General features: G+C 53.1%; 1 protein-coding gene and 1 long non-coding RNA gene across 2 annotated transcripts, besides 12 other annotated features; both read right to left on the reverse strand.

Moving 5' to 3' along the window:
• Nucleotides 2,684–2,883: a silencer, noted in NCBI's record as "silent region_8716". NCBI's record gives its function as "represses an Ori minimal core promoter by ATAC-STARR-seq in GM12878 lymphoblastoid cells {active_cell/tissue: GM12878}" and the evidence as "EXISTENCE:reporter gene assay evidence [ECO:0000049][PMID:35858748]".
• Nucleotides 3,104–3,433: a silencer, noted in NCBI's record as "silent region_8717". NCBI's record gives its function as "represses an Ori minimal core promoter by ATAC-STARR-seq in GM12878 lymphoblastoid cells {active_cell/tissue: GM12878}" and the evidence as "EXISTENCE:reporter gene assay evidence [ECO:0000049][PMID:35858748]".
• Nucleotides 6,360–6,580: a silencer, noted in NCBI's record as "fragment chr17:49012142-49012362 (GRCh37/hg19 assembly coordinates)". NCBI's record gives its function as "represses an EF-1alpha promoter that drives an FKBP-Casp9 reporter gene in an ReSE screen in phorbol 12-myristate 13-acetate-treated (for megakaryocytic differentiation) K562 erythroleukemia cells {active_cell/tissue: K562(+PMA)}" and the evidence as "EXISTENCE:reporter gene assay evidence [ECO:0000049][PMID:32094911]".
• LOC124904102 (uncharacterized) lies at nucleotides 14,972–16,749 on the reverse strand. Its single transcript, XM_047437263.1, has 2 exons — nucleotides 16,629–16,749; nucleotides 14,972–16,210 (listed from the first exon to the last, which is right to left on the reverse strand). The coding sequence occupies exons 1-2, from the start codon at nucleotides 16,747–16,749 to the stop codon at nucleotides 15,708–15,710; spliced, it is 624 nt and encodes a 207-aa protein (XP_047293219.1). The 3' UTR covers nucleotides 14,972–15,707.
• Nucleotides 15,444–16,327: an enhancer, noted in NCBI's record as "H3K4me1 hESC enhancer chr17:49021226-49022109 (GRCh37/hg19 assembly coordinates)". NCBI's record gives its function as "activates a minimal SCP1, AML or CMV promoter by ChIP-STARR-seq in naive H9 embryonic stem cells {active_cell/tissue: H9 hESC(naive)}" and the evidence as "EXISTENCE:reporter gene assay evidence [ECO:0000049][PMID:30033119]".
• Nucleotides 15,444–16,330: a biological region, named in NCBI's record as "H3K4me1 hESC enhancer GRCh37_chr17:49021226-49022109".
• Nucleotides 16,161–16,220: a silencer, noted in NCBI's record as "silent region_8718". NCBI's record gives its function as "represses an Ori minimal core promoter by ATAC-STARR-seq in GM12878 lymphoblastoid cells {active_cell/tissue: GM12878}" and the evidence as "EXISTENCE:reporter gene assay evidence [ECO:0000049][PMID:35858748]".
• Nucleotides 16,281–16,330: a silencer, noted in NCBI's record as "silent region_8719". NCBI's record gives its function as "represses an Ori minimal core promoter by ATAC-STARR-seq in GM12878 lymphoblastoid cells {active_cell/tissue: GM12878}" and the evidence as "EXISTENCE:reporter gene assay evidence [ECO:0000049][PMID:35858748]".
• Nucleotides 16,328–17,210: an enhancer, noted in NCBI's record as "H3K4me1 hESC enhancer chr17:49022110-49022992 (GRCh37/hg19 assembly coordinates)". NCBI's record gives its function as "activates a minimal SCP1, AML or CMV promoter by ChIP-STARR-seq in primed H9 embryonic stem cells {active_cell/tissue: H9 hESC(primed)}" and the evidence as "EXISTENCE:reporter gene assay evidence [ECO:0000049][PMID:30033119]".
• Nucleotides 16,341–16,400: a silencer, noted in NCBI's record as "silent region_8720". NCBI's record gives its function as "represses an Ori minimal core promoter by ATAC-STARR-seq in GM12878 lymphoblastoid cells {active_cell/tissue: GM12878}" and the evidence as "EXISTENCE:reporter gene assay evidence [ECO:0000049][PMID:35858748]".
• Nucleotides 20,632–23,110, reverse strand: LOC124904029 (uncharacterized). The gene is made up of 2 exons (XR_007065849.1): nucleotides 22,532–23,110; nucleotides 20,632–22,331 (listed from the first exon to the last, which is right to left on the reverse strand). It is a non-coding gene; the product is annotated as an uncharacterized LOC124904029 (long non-coding RNA).
• Nucleotides 21,927–22,221: a silencer, noted in NCBI's record as "tiled region #1122; K562 Repressive DNase unmatched - State 1:Tss". NCBI's record gives its function as "represses a minimal TATA promoter and a strong SV40 promoter by Sharpr-MPRA in K562 cells {active_cell/tissue: K562}" and the evidence as "EXISTENCE:reporter gene assay evidence [ECO:0000049][PMID:27701403]".
• Nucleotides 21,927–22,618: a biological region, named in NCBI's record as "Sharpr-MPRA regulatory region 1122".
• Nucleotides 22,092–22,618: an enhancer, noted in NCBI's record as "H3K4me1 hESC enhancer chr17:49027874-49028400 (GRCh37/hg19 assembly coordinates)". NCBI's record gives its function as "activates a minimal SCP1, AML or CMV promoter by ChIP-STARR-seq in naive H9 embryonic stem cells {active_cell/tissue: H9 hESC(naive)}" and the evidence as "EXISTENCE:reporter gene assay evidence [ECO:0000049][PMID:30033119]".

Here is a 23,224-nt window from a genome sequence, read left to right on the forward strand (position 1 = left end):
ATCTCCAAGCTCTTTTTCCTGAGATTCTCTCTCCTCACTGCTCTATCCCCATTTCTCTCTCCCTCCTGTCTATCCTCTCAATGCTGCTCCCAGGAGGCTCCATTTCGTGCCCCCACCTTCAAGCCTCCCAATTGCTTTCTGTCCAAACTGTTGGCCTGTTCTGAAGATTCTCACAATCTGGGGGCCCTGCGACCTGCTCAGCCTCATCTCCTGCTCTCTGTCTCATATGTCATAAAGAGTCCCCTGACCAGTATCATTCTATGTCTTACCTCCAGGGCTTACTCCTTCTGCCTGAAATGTCTTTCTTTCCTCAGCTCACCCCTTTACTTGGCCAACCCTTACTCACCATTCAAAGCCAGTTCAATGTCACCTGCTCCAAGAAAACTTTTCAGACCGCACCCAGCCTAGATTACAGACTCTTCAGCTCTGCTCCCATCTGACCCATGCCTGACTCCATCGTTGTAGTTACCACATTATTTCATAATTATCTGCTTATGTGTCTGGCTTCTGCATGCTTATTCATTGTTCTACCCCTCTGTGCACAGTGCCTGGCACAGAGTAACTCCCTTTGCAGATACTATCGCTCGGTAACAAATCACCCCATAATTTAGTGGCTTAAAAGTGCTATTTAATCTTGCTCATGGTTTTGTGGGTGTAGAATTTGGGAAGGTCTCAGCCAGGCAGTTCTCATTTGGGTTCTGCCATGGACTGGATCACCCAAAGTCTCAAGGGGGTGCATGCAAATGGGCTTGGGTTCTGCCATGGCTGCATTGGATGCTGGCAATTGGCTGGGAGTTGGCCAGGCTTTCCACTGAGGTGTTACATGTGGCCTCTCGAGCACGGCAATCTCAGGGTAGTCAGACTTCCCCCGGAACCCGCGTCCCAAGAAAGCCAGAAGGAAGATGCACAGGCTTATCTAATCTAACCTTGAAAATCAGGCAGTATTGCTTCCACCACGTTCTATGTGTTACAAGTGAGTGGCTAAGGTCAGCCCAGATTCGAGGCAAGGGGACAGAAGCCCTGCCTTTCGATGGGAAGAGTGTTAAAAAAATTTACAGACATGCTTCAAAACCACCAGAACCCTCAACACATGTTTGTTGCATGGATGGTTGAAGAGATGGATGCCAAGTTGCTTCCCACCTATCCCTATCCTGCCCCATGAATACCTAGTTCTGCTTTTTTTTTTTTTTTTTTGAGACGGAGTCTCGCTCTGTTGCCCAGGCTGGAGTGCAGTGGTGCCTTCTTGGCTCACTGCAACTTCCACCTCCCGGGCTCAAGACGAGGTCTCATTATATTGCCTAGGCTGGTCTGGAACTCCTGGGCTCAAGCAATTCTCCCACCTTGGCCTACCAAAGTGCTGCGATTACAGACGTGAGCCACTGCATCCGGCCAATATTTAGTTCTTTTCTTCCTGCCTCTTTCTCCTGCACCACCGTGACTCCAGCACATTTGAGGGTTGGCAGAGTGGCCTGGTGGTAGAAGAACACAGGCTAGCAACCTATAGCTTCTGCCTCCATGTGCCTGCTGCCAGCTGGTGTGAGATGCTAAGACAAGTCCCTCTCCTGTCCTAGGCTTCAGTTTCCCTACCCAGATAATGAAGTGCTGGGCCAGATATTCTCTAAGATCCTCCCCACCTCCCACCTTCTGCTCTAACTTTAGGCATCTCTATAATTCCTACTTGCTTTCTGAAAAGGCAGCTGGAAGCCCAGGCCAGCTCCATGCTGCAAAGCTGCCCCCAGCCATCATGTCTTTGGGAGTTCGCATCTTAATGACACAAGCACACACAGTACACTGTGGTGTGAGAAACTCAAATACTACAGAAGTATGCAGAGTAAAACGTGAAATTCCCCACGACCTTCCTTTACGCCCTGCCTCCCTCCGAAGGGGACTGCCTCCATAGTTCAGCGATTGCCCCAGCAGCCTTTTATACACCTACTGTCCGGCAACGTGCAGCTTTCTCAGAAGGAGAAAGCTTTGCTGGGGATATGTGGTTCGTTTTATCTTTTAACAAATAAAATCATACTGTTCATATTTCTGCAACTTTCTCTTTTTCATGTAATTCTATGTCTAGGACATCATCTTTCCACCACGTCCCCCAGCCTTTTCTTTTTCTTTTTCTTTTTTTTTTTTTGAGATGGAGTCTCACTCTGTCCCCAGGCTGGAGTGAAGTGGCACAATCACGGCTCACTGCAACCTCTGCCTCCCGGGTTCAAGCGATTCTCCTGCCTCAGCCTCCAGAGTAGCTGCGATTACAGGCATTCGCCACCACGCCTGGCTGATTTTTGTATTTTTAGTAGAGACGGGGTTTCGCCATATTGGCCAGGCTGGTCTCGAACTCCTGAGCTCAGGTGATCTGCCTGCCTTGGCCTCCCAAAGTGCTGGGATTACAGGCGTGAGCCACCGCTCCCAGCCTTTTAAAAAAGATGCTCTATAATTTGAGATGGTATGGTTGCTGCAAAGTTTATGAGACTATTCTCCACATTGTCAAATATTTTGGTAACTTCCAATTTTAGTTATTTTATACAATCTTGCAAAGGGCCGTGTTCAGCGCTCCACGGAATTGCAGGGCTGGGGGACACTCCATTCCTGCGTCCTAGAGAGCCTCTTTCAAGCAAGCTCTTTCAAGCAAGCAAGGAGTGCAAATCCTCCTGCCTGCAAATTGCGGGCTGTGAGGCCTGAGCCAACGCACTGGAGCTCTCTGAGAACGGCTGTGACGAGCCGAGCTAACAATAGCCCTGCTTAGCAGCCCCGCGGCGGCTGACTTGGTGAGGCCCGCAGGCCCGCCTCAGCCCGCCCTCCCTCCGCCGTCCGGGCAGGAGGTGCAGGGGCAGCAGGGCCCGCCTGGCTCGCTGCGGCCGCTTATCAGAGCCGGCTGTGGCGCCGGTTACGTAACCGGGCGGCTAATGCTGTTTTACTTGTCGATGAAACCCAAATTAAAAGAGGAAATTATTGTCCTGATGCTCAACTCGCCTAATCCCCATCTGTCTCCTCTCTGGTCCCCCGCGCTGCCGAGCGCTCGCATCTAAAGGTCTTGAACGCGTTCCAGGTTTCTAATTTCGTTTGCTTATGCAACCAAAAATATTATGGCCGCGTTTCCTGGGGGTGATGAAGTCTATATTCTGGGCTACAGGCACACTAAAAACGGCAGCGCCAGGGCCCAGCGCCGCTCGCGCGTGCACCACGCGCCGGCTTTTTTTGGTTCCTCCGAGGCGCGGGCAGCTCTGCAGCCGCGGGGGCCGCAGGAGGTGGGGGCTGGACCCGCCCGGAGCTCGGGAGGGCCCGGGATGGCCCCGGGGAGCGCAGGTCCCGGCAGGGGCCGAGCGAACAAGGGCCGGCCTGGGGCGCCCAGAGACGCGGGGGACCGTTCTGGTCGCAGCTGCCTGGGTGACCTCTTGGAACCTCAGCTTCCTCCTTGTTTTTTTTCTGATTCTGACTCTGATTCCTGTGTGCTGAATCCAGGCTGTAGTGAGCTGTGATCACACCACTACATTCCAGCCTGGGTGGCAAAAGGAAGATGAGAGAGAGACAGAGAGAGAGAGAGAGAGAGAGAGAGAGAGAGAGAGAAGAGAGAGAAATAAGGGAGACATCAACACCCTGGAATATTGTGTAGATGAGTTTTAAAAAAAAAACAAGGTAGATCAAGATGTATTAACATGTATCAGATTGTTAAATTTCTTTAAGAAATAAAGTCATTGAAAAATAGAAAAATACAGAATATGGTTCAACTTGAGTTTTTAAAAATCCATGGGCTGGTGAGAAGCAAAACAGACTTCAGTGTTTTTACCCCACTTCTGTATTGTCTGAATCATCTGAAGAGACGCTGTTCATGTATTTCTTGCATAATTTTAAGTATCTGATTTTAATGGTATGAGGGACGGGATAGCAGGGGCCTTCCTGACCCTGTAATTCTCTGGAAGCAGTGGTCAGATCAGGAGTGGGACTGGCTGCAAGGCTTCTGCCCCCGATCCCCGACCCCAGGCTGGGGCTTCAGGATGCCCGACCACAGTGTTCTGAGGGCCTCTGACCATCAGGAGGCCACTGGAAGTCTTAGGGCTGAGGGAGGCATGGGTACTGGGCCTGGGAGGGCAGACGCTGAGGGCAGAGCAAGGGCCCTGGAGTCAGAACCCAGGCTTCTAGTCCCTGGAGCATTGGCTCAAATGGCAGAGTCTCCCTTGTTCCTGCGGCCACTCTGGGTCTTGAGACTGGTGGCATCCTCTGCCCTGACAGCCAGGCCAGGACCAGTGCGAGGAGGAGCCAATGGACCCTGGCTGGCTCCGAGGCTGCGGGGCTGGGTGTGAGGCCTCACCTTAGCCAGTTCTGGAGATGTGCCCCTTGACGTGGCTTCTCTGGGCGAGGCCAGGCTCCCTGTGGGCCCCAGATGCAGAGAGCCAGGATTGATTCTCAAGCCACGAGGTACCCCCCATCCCTGAGATAGGCCCAGCCTATGTGCGTGGCCCTCATCAGCCAGACACTTGGAAATATCCGCACAGTTGCTGGAGAAGCAGAGAAGAGGCCGCTTGAACACAGGGAGCCATCTCCCACAGCACACCACAGACTTCCCCGGGTGCGCGCCGAGGAGCACGGATTCTGACAAGGCGTTATACCTTCAAATCAGGTTCTAATAGCCAAGAATTGCAGGAACCCCTGTGATGAACTAACTTAAGCAGGTTTCTTTACTTTAGGACTTCTCAGGACCTTTCCTATGCTGGGGTACATGATGAGTCTCCATGAAGGTGTAATGAGTGCAACTTTTACTAGAAACCCACGGACTCAGGAGCCCTTTCCTTCCAGAGCATCTCACAGGGCTAGAGGGCTCCAAAAACACTGAGCCAATGAAGGTGGGAAACAAGCACTGAGGGTGCAGGACCATCGCAGACAGAGTTTGGGAAAACTTAAGAGGAGGATGAGGCCTGGTGCAGTGGCTCACACCTGTAATCCCAGCACTTTGGGAAGCCGAGGCGGGTGGATCACGAGGTCAGAAGTTCGAGACCAGCATGGCCAACATGGTGAAATCCCATCTCTACTAAAAATACAAAAATTAGCTGGACGTGGTGGTGGGTGCCTGTAATCCCAGCTACTCAGGAGGCTGAGGCAGGAGAATCGCTTGAATCCGGGAGGTGGAGGTTGCAGTGAGCCAAGATTGCACAACTGCACTCCAGCCTGGGTGACACAGCAAGACTCTATCTTGGAAAAAAAAAAAAGAGGAGGATGAGTAAGCACTGTCCTGCATCACTCAACAAGGGGGATATGTCCTGAGAAATGTGTCCTCAGGCAATTTCGTCATTGTATGAACATCATAGAGTGCACTTACACAAACCCAGATGGTAGTATGGACTACCACACACCCAGGCTACTGCTCCCAGGCTACACACTCAGAGAGCTTGTTACTGTACTGAATACTGTAGGCAATTGTGGCACAATAGTAAGTATTTGTGTATCTAAACATATCTATACATAGAAAAGGTAGAGTTAAAATACAGTATTATAATCTTGTGGGGCTGGGCACAGTGGCTCATGCCTATACTCCCAGCACTTTGGGAGGCTGAGGCAGGTGGATCACTTGAGGTCAGGAGTTCAAGACCAGCCTGAATAACATGGTGAAACCCTGTCTCTACTAAAAATACAAAAAATTAGCTGGGTATGGTTGCGGGTGCCTGTAATCCCAGCTACTCAGGAGGCTGAGGCAGGAGAATAGCTTGAACCCAGGAGGCAGAGGTTGCAGTGAGCCGAGGTTGTGCCAGGGCACTCCAGCCTGGGCGACACAAGCAAGACTCTGTTTCAAAAATAATAATAATAATAATAATCGTATGGGCCCACCACTTTAGCTGCAGTCTGTAGTTGACTGAAACGTTATGAGGTGCATGACTGTATAAGAAGGTGTGAGAAAAGTGGAGGCCACCTCACCTGTGAGAGATTTGTTTAAAGACCAGTCCTGCTAATAGAATGCAGGTGGGTAGGGGGTGGGGAAAGCCCATCAACAGAGCAGGTGTGGGACTAACATTCATCTCTTTTCTCGGAGTTTGACACCTGGGCTCATGCACATATGTGCACCTACCTAGGCACATACCCAAAGGTACACATACAAAAAGCTCACATACAAGCATGTGCTCACATGAAACACACACAAGCACACATGGAAGAACATATCTCCTCATGGGCACACTCGCATACAGCAAAGCACACACCCATGCACACCCCCAGGTGTGTGCCCACACAGACCCACCTGCCAAGGCAAACCCATACAAAACACATGGAAACACAGATGGAGGCACGCATATCCACACACATGAGCCGGAGCACACACAGACATGCACTCAGCGCATCACACATCAACACTCGCGTACACGCACTGGGGTGTGCATGCGGAAGACAGGTGCAGGCGCATGCTCAGAGCACGCACCTGCATCCACACACTACGCATTCACAAGCACAGCGTGTCTAAGGCCATAACAGCTTCCCTGCCTCTTTGCGGAGGTGGGGCCAGTGGGGGTGGGAGTGACACTGTGTTTTAGAGGGAAGCTGAAGGACTCCCAAGCACGTTGAGTAAAGCAGTTCACAGAAGGCATATGTCCTTTGAGTATTTTTATCTTTAGCACTCATATGTCTAGCAGAGTCTGGGTGGCTCCATATTGCTACCAGGAAGGAGGACAAGTGGCTGGATTTGAAAGCAGATGGCCCCTGGGTGCAGAGGAAGGATACCCCTTGCTCCCTCCCCCGCCACACCACAGCGTTTCCTACCTCAACATATGGGGTCCCCCAAAGGCCTGTGCAAGCCACCTGCTTCCCACTGTGAAAACAGCTGGCAGAGCAGATTCCTCAGCCCCTAGCTGGGTGCCTGGAGAGAGGTTCTGACAGCCCCCAGCCTCCAACCAACCCCCGTCTCGGGAGCTCAGGTCTCCAGAGCACTTTGGGCCAGGACCATCAGTCTTGGGCCTGGGCTGTGACCCACTGTGGGCGGCTCTCTGCAGCTGCCTCGAATGTGTGCATGGATGGTGTTTTCCCCTATCCCTGAGCTGGCAGGAGGTCTGGGCACGTGCCCTGGCCCTCTGGCTGGTCAAGGACAAGCCGATGGATTTCGAAAGCTATTTAATCCCTGGGTTCTGACGCACCCGGTTCACCACCAAGCGGGATCTAGTGCCCACAATCTGATGTCAGAGGGCGGGAGTGGCCTTGGCCAGGCCTTGGCATGACTCCATCCCCTGCCCACATGGCACTGTGGTGGAGCCGGCAGGGAGCAAGAGGCGCCCAGAGCCTTCGCCTCTTGAATCACAACCATTTGTTAGGCTCGCAAACACCAGCATGGCCTAGAAAATGAGGTAAAACAATAACAAGGAAAAATAATCAGGTGCTATTAAGTGAAAAGAGCAGATAAGCAAAACATTATAATCGTGTTTATTTGAGAACAGTAATAAATATATTTAGGCAGAGGGAAAAAACTGGAAAAACCAACAGTGACTATCTTTAGAAATGTACCATTCAACAAATATTTACTGAGTACCTGCTATTGGTCAGATTGTTTTAGGTGCTGGGCATACAGTAGTGAAGAGACAAAACCCTTTAAGAAGCTTATATTCTAGAGAGTTAACAGGCAATAAACAAAATATACGAGTTCAATATATAGTCAATTAGCCAGGCGCAGTGGCTCAGACCTGTAATCCCAGCACTTTGAGAGGCCGAGATGGGCAGATTGCTTGAGTCCAGGAGTTGGAGACCAGCTTGAGCAACACAATGAAATGCCATTTCTGCTAAAAATACAAAAATTAGCCGAGTGTGGTGGTTCATGCTTGTAGTCCCAGCTACTTGGGGGGCTGAGGTGAGAGAGTTACTCGATCCTGGGAGTTAAAGGCTGCCGTGAGCCGAGATCGAGCCACTGCACTCCAGCCTGGGTGACAGAGTGAGACCTTGTCTCAAAAAAAAAAAAAAAAGTTAAATGGTGTAAATTGTGTTAAGTATAAATGGTGTTAAGTACAATGGGAAAAGGCTGGTTTGGGTTTGAGAATTGTGGGTTGGGGGCTGTAATTTTTAATAGATTCAATTTTTTAAGCTCAGTTCCAGTTTTACAGAAAAATTAAGAAGACAATATGTCACAGATGGGAACTGAACAATGAGAACACATGGACACAGGAAGGGGAACATCACACTCTGGGGACTGTTGTGGGGTGGGGGGAGGGGGGAGGGATAGCATTAGGAGAAATACCTAGTGCTAAATGATGAGTTAATGGGTGCAGCACACCAGTATGGCACATGTATACATATGTAACTAACCGGCACATTGTGCACATGTACCCTAAAACTTAAAGTATAATAATAAAAAAAAAGATTACACAACAAAAAAATAAATAAAATAAATTCTTGAAGAGCTATTAAAAAAAAAAAAAAAAGAAGACAACATAGTTACCCCCAAATCCTCCCTCCTCCTGCATGCAGTTTCTCTCATCAGTGACAACTTACATTAGTATGGTACATTTGTTGCAATGAATGAACCAATATTGATACATTATTATTATTATTATTATTATTATTATTAGAGACAGAGTCTTGCTCTGTCTATGTGGTGGTGCGGTAATGGCTCACTGCAAACTCGACCTTCTAGGCTCAAGCCATCCTCCTGCCTCAGCCTCCAGAGTAGCTGGGACCACAGGTATGCACCACCACACCTGGCTAATTTTTGTATTTTTTGTAGAGATAGGGTTTTGTAGAGATAGGAGTTGCCCAGGCTGGTCTAGAATTCCTGGGCTCAAGCAATCCTCTCGCCTTGGCCTCCCAGAGTGCTGGGATTATAGACATGAGCCACTGCACCAGGCCTTGATACACTATTATTTACCAAAGTCTATAGTTTATTTAGATTTTCTGGGTTTACCTAATGTCCTTTTTCTGTTCCAGGATCCCATCCAGGATCTCACATTCTACGTCGTTGTCATTGTCTTGCCTCCTGAGGCTCCTCTTGGCTGTGACCACTTCTCGGACTTTTATTTTGATGAAAATATTTTGATGACCCTGACAGTTTTGAGAAGTCCTGGTTTGGTGTCTTGGAGGATACTGCTATACTGGAATTTGTTTCGTGTTGTTCTCATGTTTAGACAGGGGTTATGGGTTTTTGGGTGTCTGATCACAAAGCCGAGGTGCCGTTTTCATCATGTATCCTATCAGAGGTCCTATCAACTGGAGTTACAAAGATGCTGACTTTATCACGGGTATCCGCTGGGTTTCTGCACCGCAGAATGAGCCCCCTTCTCCCGTTCCACACTGTACTCTTTGGGAGGAAGTCACTAAGTGCAGCCACACATAAGGCCTGGGACTTATGCTTTCAGCCCCAACTCATTTAGGGTGAAATAGTGACATAAATTGGCCTGGTGCAGTGGCTCATGCCTGTAATCCCAGCACTTTGGGAGGTCGAGGCGAGCGGATCACCTGAGGTCAAGAGATGGAGACCCTCCTGGCCAACATGGTGAAACCTTGTGTCTACCAAAAATACAAAAATTAGCTGGGCGTGGTGGTGGGCGCCTGTAATCCCAGCTACTTGGGAGACTGAGGCAGGAGAATCGCTTGAACCCAGGAGGTGGAGGTTGCAGTGAGCTGAGATTGTGCCACTGCACTCCAGTCCGGCAACAGAGTGAGATCCCATCTCAAAAAAAAAAAAAAAACGACATAAATTATTTGAAATTCTTCTGCGTGGGTTTTTTTGTGTGTGTCTTCTCCCCCATTTATTAATTAATCCAAGCGCTTATTTATAATGGACTCATGGATATTTATTTTACACTTGGGTTATACTACTACTTCATTTTACTGCTCAATTGTTGCAGCGTTTGGTTGTTGGCAGCTCTTTCAGTCGGCTCCTTCATCCCTTTGATACCCCTCTCTCCAGCACCAATGTGGTTCTTTTCTTTTTGAGCCCTTCCTTACTCTCTGACACTACACGATGCTCCTGTCCCAGTCCTGGAATCAGCCATCTCTCCCAGGAGCCCCGGATCCTTTCACTGAAGAATGGTATTAGAAACCAAGGTACTAGGTGTGATCTTTTTGTTGTTGTTTTGAGACAGAGTTTTGCTCTTGTTGCCCAGGCTGGAGTCCAACGGTGCGATCTCAGCTCACTGCAACCTCGGCCTCCCGGGTTCAAGCGATTCTCCTGCCTCAGCCTCCTGAGTAGCTGGGATTATAGGCGCCCGCCACCACGCCTGGCTAATTTTTGGGGGTTTTTTTTTTGTATTTTTAGTAGAAACGGGGTTTTGCCATGTTGGCCAGGCTGGTCTCGAACTCCTGACCTCAGGTGATCCGCCCACCTCGGTCTCCCAAAGTGCTGGGATTACAGGCGTGAGCCACTGTGCCCAGCCTGATCTTTACTTTTTAACATGGTGGTTAGTGAAGGCTCTTCTGAGAAGATAACACGTGAATGAAGATGTAAAGAAGGTGAGGGACAAACTGTGGGGAGCTTCAAGGAGGGGACTTCAGGAAGAAGGGATACCCCTTGCTCCCTCCCCTGCCACCCCACAGCCTTCCCTCCTCCAACATACTGGGTACCCCAGAGGCCTGCCCAAGCCACCTGCTTCCCACCAGAAAAATAGCCAGCAGGGCAGCAGGTGCAAAGGCCCCAAGGCCGACATGTGCACTGCGTAGTCAAGGAACAGAGGCCAGTGAGGCTGGAGCAAATGGGCCGTGGAAAGAGATGGTGTTGGAGAGGTGGGGCAGGAGCAGATGACAGAGGGGCCGCCCGACAGGACCTCGGCGTTGCCTTAGACTGCAGAGGAAGCAGACAAGTGACACTATCAACTCACTTTTTAATAAAACCACTTTGGCTACCATGCTGGGGATAGCATGAAGGGGCAAGGGCCGATGCTATTTTAAGAATCTAATGAGTGAGGATGTTGGCTTAGACTGGATGATAGCAATGGAGGTTGGGTGAGGGGCTCAGTTTCTGAAGGCAGAGCCAACAGCATTTTCTGACAGCTTGGATGCTGGGTGAGAGGGGGTGGGGGGTGCTAAGGTTTTGCCTGATCATCTGGAAGGAGGCAGTTGGGATTAGTCACACTGGGGGAAGACTGGAGGAGCTCACATGGTGGACACATTAAGTTTGAGATGCCCATCATCCATCCAAGCAGAGACGCTGAGTTTGTGGCCGTGTAGGTCTGGAGTTCAGGGGAGAGGGTGGGCTGGAGGGATAACATGAGAACAGGCTCCCAGCTCAGCCCTGTTCCCCGACACAGGTGTCTCCAGGCAATGGATGTACACCTGTGGGCTTAGGCTGAATCCAACACAGGATCTTGACCAAGGAGCCAGCCTGTAACTACATGGGGAGAGGGGGCAGCTTTGAGAAAACCTGGCCCCAAGTCCCGGCAGGTGGAGCAGACGCTGCATGCGGCTCTTGGTCAGCTTCCCAAGGACCCCCCGCCTTGCTCTGCATGGGGGTGCCCCGCAAGCACCCAGGGCTCAGGGCATGGAGAGGCCCCAGGATGGGGACTGGGCTTTCCCTCCATCTGAGCTGCTCCCCAGGCCAGAACTTGGGGGCCACACCTACTTTTTCTTCCGCTCCCAGCCTCTGGGTCCTGGCCACAGTCATCAAAACTGCTGAGTGAAAAAAGGCACAAGGCCATATCCAGAGGGCAGCCTCTCTGACCTTTGGGAAGTGACAGCACCAGGTCACTGGACTCCCGAAACAGGAGGAATGGACAGGAGAGGAGGAGGGGGAGAAGGGGGTGAGGGAAGAGAGGCCAGGGGACAGGACAGAAGACAAGGAGAGGGAGGAGGAGGGGAGAGTCCAGAGGTGAGGGGAGGTAGGAAGAGGCTGGTGTCCTGAGCTGTGTCCTGGTCCCACAGCCTGGTGAAGGGGCAGCTGACAGCAGGGGTCCTTCTTGCCACCTATCTGTCTCTCACATGCCACATCTAGTCCACCAGCCCATGCTGTGTCCACCAGCCATGCCGGGGGCTCCCCCTCTTCCCTCGCTGATGCCTCCACCCTCGTCGAGGCCACCCCTCTCTCTGACCTGTGCCTCTGGAAGGGCCTCCTCCCACTTCCGTCCTCTACAGTCTGTTCTCAGAGCAGCCAGAATGACCCTTCTCAAACAAAACCCAGATGAGGCCATCGCTTCAGAAACCCTCTCCCTTCCCTAGAGTGAAAGGCCCCCTCTCGGGCCACCGAGTCTGCCCTCTGGTCTGCAGTCCTCCCTTCAGTCCTCCCACAGCGGCCTCCCTGCCGCTCCTCCAGCAGCCCAAGCAGGCTCACAGCTGCCACAGGGCCTCTGCACTTGCTGTGCCCTCCGCCCGGCCTGCTCTGCCCAGCAGGTGCCTTGCTCCTTTGCTTCTTTCAGGTCAGTGCTGAAGTCTCTTCAGAGAGGCTGCCCTGCCCACCCAATCTGAAACAGACTCCTCCCACCACTGCCACTGTTCCCTTCCCCAGCTTACTTTTTCTTAAGACTTACACCACTTTATATATACATATATATATATACACATACACACACACACACACACACACACACACATATATATATATATTTAGATAAGGTCTCCCTCTGTTGCCCAGGCTGGAGTGCAGTGGTGCGATCTTAGCTCACTGTATCCTCCACCTCCCAGGTTCAAGCAATTCTTATGCCTCAGCCTCCTGAGTAGCTGGGACTACAGGTATGTGCCACCACGCCCGGCTAATTTTTGTATTTTTAGTAGAGACGGGGCTTTGCCATATTGGCTAGGCTTATATAAGTATTAACGCTTCCCCACTGGAGTAGAAGCTCCCTGAGGACCAGGCATTTGTTTTGTCCACCAACGCATCCCGGCACCTGGAACAAGCTCCAGCAGGTGTGGACTCCATGGATACCTTTGAATGAATGCATGGCCATGCCTCACCTTCTACAGTTCCCTAGGGCTGGCTGAGGGAAATTGGTTGGGCCTGGCTGTCCTCCTCAGGCCCAAACAATTTGGCTCTCAGAAGTTCTGAGACCAAAGTGGAACCTATCACACGAAAGATGGGAAGGACACCGGGCGCAGTGGCCCACGCCTGTAATCTTAGCACTTTGGGAGGCCAAGGTGGGCGGATCACTTGAGGCCAGGAGTTCGAGACCAGCCTGGCCAACATGGTGAAACCCTGTCTGTACTTAAAATACAAAAAATTAGCTAAGCGTGGTAACGTGCACCTGTAATCCCAGCTACTCGGGAGGCTGAGGCAGGACAATCACTTGAACCCGGGAGGCAGAGGTTGCAGTGAGCCGAGATCGTGCCATTGCACTCCAGCCTCAGTGACAGAGTGAGACTCTGTCTTAAAAAAGAAAAAAAAAAGAAACATGGGAACATGGGAAGGAAATTCACCAAAACCTCTGCGAGCGAATGACTCCTTTCTCCCAAATCTGTAATTTTACCATGTCTTCCCCAATCCATTCCTCACACCTTCCTGATGCCTCCTCTTCCCCCATTCCCCAGAGCCTGCTATGCCCCAGGTCCTTCCAGGACACCTCTTTTATTTTTATTTTTTAATTTTTGAGATAGAGTGTTGGTCTGTTGCCAGGCTGGAGTGCAATGGCATGATCTCGGCTCACTGCAACATCCATCTCCCAGGTTCAAGCGATTCTCATGCCTCAGACTCCCAAGTAGCTGGGATTACAGGTGCCCACCACCACACTCAGCTAATTTTTGTATTTTAGTAGAGATGAGGTTTTGCCATATCGGCCAGGCTGGTCTTGAACTCCTGGCCTCAAATGTTCCACCTGCCTCGGCCTCCCAAAGTGCTGGGATTACAGGCGTGAGCCACCGCACCCAACCCAGGACACCTCTTAAACATCTCTCCTCTCTCCGGCCCACTGCCTTGGTGCTTATCAGCTCAGGGACCCCAGTGGTCTCAGGGTTTGCTCTCATCACCACAAGGCAGTTTCCACAGAGATCCAGAATGATCTTGCTAAAAAAGCACGTCTGATCTGCTCACTCCCAGGCTTAACCCCCTTCATTGGCCCTCAGGATTAGGTCCAGAGTCCAGAGCCATCTGCCCCTACCCTGTCTCCACGCTCCTGCTCCCTCCTGGGCTCCTCCTGCTGAGCCTCCTGTCTGACTCAGCCACATACCTGCCGCCAGCCCCTTGTGCCCACAGCACCTGCTCCTCCTCTCTCAGCCCTCTTCTTACTTGATTGTGATGCATTGTGTTACTGCCATCCAGACTGCCCATTTCGAGTTCCCGTGTGCAGCCTGCCTGGACGGAGGCCTTAGCCTCTGCCCTGAGTCCCGGTTGCATGGGAAGTCCTCTGGGTCTCAGTTTGGATGTTTGTGGGTGAGGAGCAGCTGCGGTGGGTAAGGGGTGGCTGATGAGGATCACGGGGTGTGCTGAGACTCCCTGGTCCTTCCCTCAGTGACGCCCCTGCTGTCGCCACTTGTCCCCAGGCTCTAGAAGAACTGGGTCTCTCTCTTGTCCAGTATCTGCCAGGGAAGAGGCTCTTAGGCTCTTATCTGTTGAATGGTTGAATGGGTCACTCTAAACAGCAGCTGTAAATAATGTCCATCTTTTTTTTTTTTTTTTGGAGACAGGGGGCAAACTTTGTCACCCAGGCTGGAGTGCAGTGGTGCAATGGCTGACTTCAACCTCAACCTCCCAGCTTCAAGTGATCCTCCTACCTCAGCCTCAAAGTAGCTGAGACCACAGATTGCATCACCACACCTGGCTAATTTTTCTTTCTTTCTTTCTTTCTTTTTTGATATAGAGTCTCGCTCTATCCCCCAGGCTGGAGAGCAATGGCGTGATCTTGGCTTACTGCAACCTCTACCTCCCAGGTTCAAGCGATTCTCGTGCCTCGGCCTCCCAAGTAGCTGGGATTACAGGTGCCCACCATATCCGGCCAATTTTTGTATTTTTGTGGAGAGAGGGTTTCACCATGTTGGTCAGGCTGGTCTTGAACTCCTGGCTTCAAGTGATCCGCCCACCTCGGCCTCCCGAAGTGCTGCGATTACAGGCATGAGCCACTATCATTTTTTGTTTTTAAATAGAATGGAAAACAAAAACTTACCTTGAAAAATCATTCTTACTGAAATGATTAAAAAGTAACATTCCTGTATCTTCCAAAGCTGAGCAGACACACAGCCGGGCCCCGTCATCCCTGCCCTGGGTATTCACCCAACAGAAATGCATTCATATGTTCACAATACACAGGAACTAGAATGTTCATAGTGGCACTATTCACCATAGCCAGGAACTGGAACCTCCCCAAATGTCCATTAGCAGTAACATGGGTGAATACATTTTAACAGAGCCACACAATGGCAAGCCACCAGCAATGGGTACGAACAGCCCTTGACTGCCTGTGAGAGTACTGACAAACCTCACAAACATAATATGCAGCAAAAGAAACCAGACGCAAAACGGCACCCACTGTATGGCTCCATCTACACACAGTTCAGAAGCAGGCCAGAGCGCCTGCGGGCTGAGTCAGGAGAGAGGCTGGACTCGGGAACAGTAGGTGGAAGGGGTCTCGAGGGGCTTCTGGGTGCCGGTGAGGTGCTGTTTTTTAATTTGGGTGCTGGTTGCACAGGTATGCAAAGCATGTGCAAATTCTTTCAGTTGTACACTTTGATTTGTGCAGTGTTCTGTGTGTGTGCTTAACTTCAATTTTAAAAAGTCTTAAAAATAAAAGTCATGTCTCCTGGAGCAGGTTAAATCCACCTCCCTTTTCTATCCAAGGGCAAGTGGAGAGCAGGTGGCTGGCCTCCCTGGGGCACAACCACGTGTCCCCTCATGGGTGCTACCAGAGTCCCTCCCCAGCCTGAGACTCCTGAAGCCCCAGACTCAGGGATTTTCTTTCCACTAAGCTCTGGTAAGTCCCACCATCACAGACCAGGCCTGTGTCGGCCCCAGAAGCAGGATCAGTGTTAGCTGCAGCCTGGCCCTCACTGGCTGGGTTACTCCGGGCCTCCCTTGCCATCGGCCACCCCCAGGCTTGGCGCGGAGGCGCAGGCCGCCTGGGTCCTCGGGTTGTGTCCGCTGGCCTCCCTCCACCTTCTTGCCCCTGGTGGGAGATGGGAGTGGGGCTTGGAGGTGGGGAGGTGGGGCTGTCGGTGCTCCAGGGTCCCCGCAGAGGGCAGGGAAGCCCTGGACCTGGTCTGACCTTGCGCGCTAGCCCCAGAGGTCGCCGTGCTCTGCTGTCGGCGTTCAGGTGCCCGCGGTCGGGCCGGGGAGGGCAGTAATCAAGCCGGCCCGGCGGCTGGCGAGGGGCGCGGGTCCAGCGCGCTGCCCTCGGCCGCCGCCCTGAGCGGTTATTTATAACCGCGGGTCGCGTTACCTCCTGACCTTAAGCTGGGGCGGGCGATCCGCAGCGATTAGCATCTATCTCCTCCCCGCCGCCCGCTGCGAACAAACACCCCTCTGTGCGCCCTCCCCCGCCCGCCCCGCGGGAGGCCCTGCAGGAAGCAGGATGTTGACCCGGAGCCTCCCTGCGCTCCTGCGGCGGCCCCGCCACATGTGAGTGGCGGGCGGTGGAGTGCGGGTGGGGGGGAAGCGGGGAGCAGGAGCTACTCGTGTTTGATGGCTTCCCGAGTTGCCAATGTCCTGGTCTATTCTGAGTGACCGCCTTATTTACAATATAGGGCTCCCCAGCCCGTGTCTGCCCAAAGGGGTGCCCTCTCCCAAGCCAGTGGGGGCCAGCCAGCCCTGGTTGGGGCAGCACCTGCACAGGTGGTCCCAGAATCACAGGCTGCAAACCGCATCCTCCAACAGCCAGGCCGTCGTTGCTCGATGGCAGCTGAAGGCCATAGGGGAAGGTGGTTGCGTCGGGGTCCCACAGCCATCCACGGCAGACCCCGGCTCCTGCCTGATGGTTTTTCCCAACGGCTCCCAGAACTCTTGATTCTGGTCTGGAGAAGCCTCATGAAAGGAGGCTGGGGTCGCAAGATTGGCCCATTCATTCAACACATTTTTATTTTATGTATTTATTTTTGAGACAGGGTCTTGCTCTGTCAACCCAGGCTGGAGTGCAGTGGTGGGATCAAAGCTCACTGCAGCCTCAAACTCCCAGGCTCAAGTGAGCCTCCTGCCTCAGCCTGAGTAGCTAGGACTGCAGGTATGTGCCACCATGCCCAGCTAATTGTAAACATTTTTGTAGAGGTCTTGCTATGTTGCCCAAGCTGGTCTTGAACTTCTGGCCTCAAGCGATCCTCCTGCCTTGGCCTCCCAAAATGTTGGGATTACAGGCATGAGCCACTGCACGCCAGGACCATTCAAAACTTTTTTTTTTTTTTGAGTCGGAGTCTTGCTCTGTCGCCCAGACTGGAGTGCAGTGGTGTGATCTCAGCTCACTGCAACCTCCGCCTCCTGGGTTCAAGCAATTCTGCTGCCTCAGCCTCCTGAGTAGCTGGGACTACAGGTGCCCACCACCATGCCTGGCTAATTTTTGTATTTTTAGTAGAGATGGGGTTTCACCATATTGGCCAGGCTGGTCTCGAACTCCTGACCTTGTGATCCATCCACCTTGGCCTCCCAAAGTGCTAGGATTACAGGCATAAGCCACGTTGCCCAGCCTCAACAGCTTTTTTTTAAGGCACCTACTAGGTGCCAGGCACCTTTCCAGGCAAAAATCCTTATCCTGTGGAGCTGACAGTCCAAGGGAAAGAGAGTCCTTCCCTGGAGCCTAGGGCCCCATGATGGAGCCACAGTCTAGGCAGTTGCTGAGGGCCCTGATGGGTGAGTCTTAGGGAGGGAGACTGAGGCAGGGAGTGGGAGGGCCAGGCTTGTAGTGCATTGTGGGACTGCAGCCTGCGCTGGGTATTTGCTGAGCAAGGCCAAGGCTATGTGAGACACTAACATCCTGAGCCTGTGAAGGCTGAGGCCCAACAGTGGGTGTGCCCCCTGCCTAGCTTCAAATGACCTTGCACCCAGGGCAGAGGGTGAAAAGCTCACCCAGTCTTGGGCGTCATCCTGGAAGAACTCATGGAAGAGGACCCACTGAGTCAGGACATTTGAGGAGCGCATTGAGGGCGGAGGGAGCCTGGGCTGCCCGCCTTTCTGCCACGCTCTCAGACACTTGGAGGCGCTTGGGAGGAGTTTGCCTGTGTGACGTGACCAGCCCCTGACCACTCCTTGCCTTCTCTGGGCCTCAGTTTCCACAAATGAGCAGTGAAGGGGTTGGCTGAGATGAGGCGTTTCAAGTCTGGCCGCCTGTGCCTCTGATCTAGAGACCCCCCCCAGGCCAGAGACCCTCCCACCAGAGCCTGGCTCAGGCCAGGTGCATCTGCCTGATGCAGCCCAAGAGGCTGGGCCATGGTGGACCAGGAGTAGCTGTGGCCGTGGGTAGCTGGTGGTGCCCAACAGCTCACACCAGCGTATGAGGGAGTGGCACATACACATATGTGTGGGAGTCTGGTGTGCTGGGTGTGCCTCAGTAGGTAGGTGGCTGCCCAGGGGAGTGTGTGCTTGGCATGTGTTTACGAGGGGTGTAAGGAGTGTCTGCAGCAAGTGTGTAGGGGGTGGGCCACATGTGTGTAGGTCAGGTATGTATAGTTGGGGTGTGGGCGGATATTGGAGGAGTGTCTTAGTGGTCAGGGGGAGGCTTGAGGCAGGGGAGGAAGGCCTGGAGGGGCCACTCCCTCACTCTGCAAACCCCCCTCTGGCCACATGGTCAGCCTGTGGCCGATGCGCCCTGACCAGTCAATGAACTCAGGGTCTGGAAGAGTCAGCGGCTTTTCCAACCTCTTTGCCAAATGGGATGTCAGCATGGGGGCAGGGGTGGTGGGGGTGCAGGCTGGGGAAGGTGGCAATGACTTCATGACCAGACTACTGAGCAGGTGGGGAGAGGGGGCAGGGCGCTGGAGGCCGGCTGGGTGGGGGATCCACTCTGGGTGGGGAGGCAGCCCAGGCTCATGCTTCCTCAGGACCGCTGGATTCCCTTTGTGGGGAGGACCTCCTGGAGGGTCTGCAGGGGGCTCCCTTGGACTGAAAACCCTCCAGGGACTGTTGCATGGGGTCCCAATAAGCTAACAACAGCCCTGGAAGGTAAGGCCTCTTGTCCCTATTTGACAGATGAGGAAACTGAGGCTGGGAGAGGCAGCCACACAGCTAGAGTGAATGGTGAACTGGACTAGGAACATGGGTGGGCGTGTTTCCCACACTGCCCCACAGTGACACAGCGGGGGCGGGGACAGCCCTTAAAATCCGATCCTCCGCGAACACCTTGAATCCTCAAACCTCCATCCATCCAAAAGGGGCTCCGCCTTGGGGAGGCCCTTCGCACACTTCTCTACAATTTGAGGGGCCGTCGGCTGCAATAACCACATAGTGGGGCCACTACAAGTCAACAGAAGCAGACCCTCTCTCCAAAAACACAGCAGACCCTGTCTCCAACACAGACTAGGCCTAGTTCCGACTTCCAGAATGCCGTGGTCCAGCCCTGGCATTGCTGACTCATGGGGTCAGGCTGGCGTTGCTCCTCTGTGGGGCTGGAGGGGCCCCAGATCACAGACCTGGGGGTGGGTGTGAGCACTGTCTTCGTACCCAGAGGCTGAGGTCAGCTTTTGGGCTGCTCTTTCTTCAGCCATTTACTAGTTTCCCATCGTAATAATAACTACCCCTACCTAAGCTTTATAGCTCAGCAAGGACTTTCACAAACATTCTGTCACTCACACCACCCTTGCACCAGCCCTGTGATGAGGAGTTAATATGCCCATTTTATAGAACAAGAAGCTGAAGCTCAAGGAAGGAGGTTCTGGGACTCATCTCAGATCCCATGGCCAGGAAGCGGTGGCCACTCTGGAATTCTTGACCCTGCCCAGACCAGCACCTTCCACAGCAGAGACCCCCTCCAAGGAGCGGGCGACGTGTGACTTCCCCATGGGTGGACTCTGGGCTGCAGTGATCGGCTAGCGGTGCCATCTTTAGTCTGGGAGCTGTGTGAAGCCTGCTCCCCACCTTCCCCCTCCTGCAAATATTGGGGGAGGGGCATGGAGGACAGGAAGATAGAAGCAAAAGTGGCAGTGACCGGTGCATGAGAGATTGGGAGATACGTGCTGGGGAGGGGTTCCCCGGAGCAGAGCTGGCTGCCCTTGGCACTGGGCCCAGGCGGAGGAGTGGCAAGACCAACAGTTCCTGGAGCACAAGTCCCTCAGCCGGTGCCCAGTGCCAGCCATCGCCATGTTCTCATCTGCCAGCAGCAAAATGAGAAAAATAAGGACAATATAGTGAGGTTTTACTAAAGCTAGGTTTACTCAATCCAAAAGACTGTCCTTTTATCTGAGCTTTGTATTTTCAATCGTGTGTGTGTCTGTGTGTGTGTGTCTGTGTCTGTGTGTGTCTGTGTGTGTGAGCACAAAAGGACCTTTCCTTTGACATTTCCTTTTAATGACCTCAAACTCAGCAAAATAAAAAAACTGGTGACTAGCTGGTGTGGTGGCTCATGCCTGAAATCCCAGCACTTTGGGAGGCCGAGGTGGACAGATCGCTTAAGGCCAGTAGTCTGAGACCAGCCTGGCCAACATGGTGAAACCCCATCTCTACTAAAAATACAGAAATTAGCTGGGTATGGTGGCGGACGCCTGTAATTCCAGCTACTCGAGAAGCTGAGGCACAGGAGTCGCTTAAACCTAGGAGGCGGGGGTTGCAGTGAGCTGAGATGGCACCACTGCGCTCCAGCCTGGGTGACACAGCGAGGCTCTGTCGCAAAAACAAAACTGGTGACGACGTCAGATCCTAAATTTTTTTATTTTTTTGAAATGTTAGTGATGTGAGAAATCCGAAAGGCTGAGACCCACTGGGCTAGCTTGTACGTGGCTCTGGGTGAAACCTGGCACAGGGGGGCAATGTTTTTTAATTGAGGGATGAATCTAAACAGCTGGAAGCTTCTCCCGGGGGGAGGAGGGGCTGGGTTCTTGCCCAGACTCAGCCCCTGAGGCCCCAGCCTAGGCATCCCCAGGAAACCTGAGCAGAAGGAACATTCACGTAACTGTACTGGGAATTCTGAGAAGGGCCTAGGGGCCAGTTCCCCATGCCACACACCCTCTGCTCATCCCTGACCGGGAGCCGCGAGGCAATCTTCCCTTAAACCCCACCTCGGCCTCCCCCAGCACCCCCAAGGCTGGTTCCAAAATAGTCCAGGCCCTTGGAGGAGACATCATGGGTCGGGCTGGCTGCCTGTCCCGAGAGGACATGGCAATAACGCTGTGGCCGAATATAGAGGGACAGTAGACGCTGACAGGGGCCCTGGGGCCTGGGAGCCTCGCAGGTTCCACGGTGCCTGCTCCACCCCCATCCCTTCTGAGCCCTGCACCCCCTAACCTGGACAGCTGGGAGGCTGGCGCCCCTCTCCTGGCCCAGCCCGGCCCACCTGGGGACAGGTCCGAACAAGCCCAGGTAGAACAGGAGGCCGGCCTAGGAGGGCCCAGGGCCTGGGCTGGGCATGAGCTTGGGGCCACCTCTCTCTAGGGACTCAAAGCATTTTATAAGCTTAACTTCCCACAGGACATCCCGAGATCAGGAGACCAAGAGGAACCGGGGTGTCTGCTGCAGAGCCACTCCTGCTCTCTGTTCTCAGCTTCCGAAGGAGAACAGGGCCATAAAGCTGGGGTGTGGGAGGCTGAGAGGAGAGCAGGAAGCCAGTCCAAACCCCAATAAACTGCTGGTTGAATCGAATCACAAATAATTAGTCCCGATGGCCAAGACTGCCTCCACCCTCCTCTCCTGGGAATTAAAAGTCAAAGGGCAGAGCTGCTGACGCAGATGCCAGGGGAGACATGAGGCTTGGAACAGCTGGGACTCAGCTCCCAGGCTCCACTGCCCCAGGTCGCAGGCCCTGGTTGCCCCGGTTGCCCCGGACACGATGTCCCCCAGGCAGGCCCCTAGAGCTTCATTGCCAACTCAGGGAAGGGGGCTCTGCTCCCTCACCCTTCCCCTGGTGCTACGTCAACAGAACTAGATTCAAGGTTAATCAGGCTGCCCTGAAAACTGTTGCCAGATGACAGCCTGGAAGAAGCAGTTGCCAGCCTCTCTCCCTCCCACCCCTGTAAGAGGAGGAAGAGATCTCTGCCTCCCTGTCGAGGGGGAGCCTGGCTCCCTGAAACCCACTGCGCCCCTTCCCCTAGGTCGGCCTTGCCGCAGGCACCCCCTGGACGGCTGCACCAGGTCTGCGCGCCAGCGGTGACCCCCAGTGGTCAGTGCAGGACTTGAACCTGAGCCGTGGGCATGGCTGCTGCAGACTCATCACTGCAGCCTCAGCCCACAGCCAGTGACTTGGGAAGCCTTGCCGTGTGAGTGGTTTGGGGATTTGATCTTGGTAAGGCTGTTGCTGGCGTTTAGAGGTACTTCGTAGGTGCTGATTTTTCCTAATTGAACTGTGGCTGGATCTTGGCCTAAAGGTCCCACTGTCAGCAAATCCGTGTCCACATGCCTAAGAATGAATTCATCATCTTCTAGCCCTAAACCGGCTCCTCCTCCTGACTTCCCTATTTCTATTAATAGCACCGCCACCCTCCAAACCTCCGAGTCATCTTCAGCCGCTCCCCACACTGGGCGGGGTGCCTGATCTTGCCCCTCCTCCCTCCGCAGGTCACCCTTGCATTACTCTCCTGGACACTCGTAGCCTCTCACCTGCGTCACTGACATCCTCAACGATGCTGCTGGGTCAGACCTGGGCAGGGGACCCACCCCTCTTCCACTTACTGGCCTCGCGACCCTGGGCAAGTTACTTAAACTCTCTGAGTCTCAGCTTCCTCAGCTGTAATGTGAGGCTAATAATCACAGCCCCTCTCTCCTAGGGCATTGCATGAATTAAATGATAGGCTGGGTGTGGTGGCTCATGCCTGTAATCCCAGCACTTTGGGAGGCCCCGGTGGGAGGATCACCTGAGGTCAGGAGTTCCAGACCAGCCTGGCCAACATAGTGAAACCCCGTCTCTACTAGAAATACAAAAATTAGCCATGCCTGTAGTCCCAGCTACTCCGGAGACTGAGGCAGGAGAACCGCTTGAACCCAGGAGGCGGAGGTTGCAGCGAGCTGAGATGTGCCACTGCACTCCAGCTTGGGCGACAGAGCCAGACTCCATCTCAAAAATAAATAAATAAATAAATAAAATAAAAAAGAATTAAATGATAGAATGGACATGAAGACCCTATCACGTAAGAAATGCTCGGGCCGGGCGCGGTGGCTCACGCCTGTAATCCCAGCACTTTGGAAGGCCGAGGCAGGCGGATCACGAGGTCAGGAGATCGAGACCATCCTGGCTAACATGGCGAAACTCCATCTCTACTAAAAATACAAAAAAATTAGCCGGGCGTGGTGGCG

Source organism: Homo sapiens, chromosome 17 (assembly GCF_000001405.40).
Source record: "Homo sapiens chromosome 17, GRCh38.p14 Primary Assembly".
Taxonomy (NCBI): domain Eukaryota; kingdom Metazoa; phylum Chordata; class Mammalia; order Primates; family Hominidae; genus Homo; species Homo sapiens.

Bases quoted from the DNA above. Each gene is read 5' to 3' on its own strand.
- LOC124904102 (XM_047437263.1), bottom strand. From the start codon at position 16,749: ATGGCTGTGGGACCCCGACGCAACCACCTTCCCCTATGGCCTTCAGCT. The intron at 16,211-16,628 runs GTGCTGCCCCAA...ATAACCGCTCAG, and splicing joins TTCTGGGACCACCTGTGCAG to GGCGGCGGCCGAGGGCAGCG.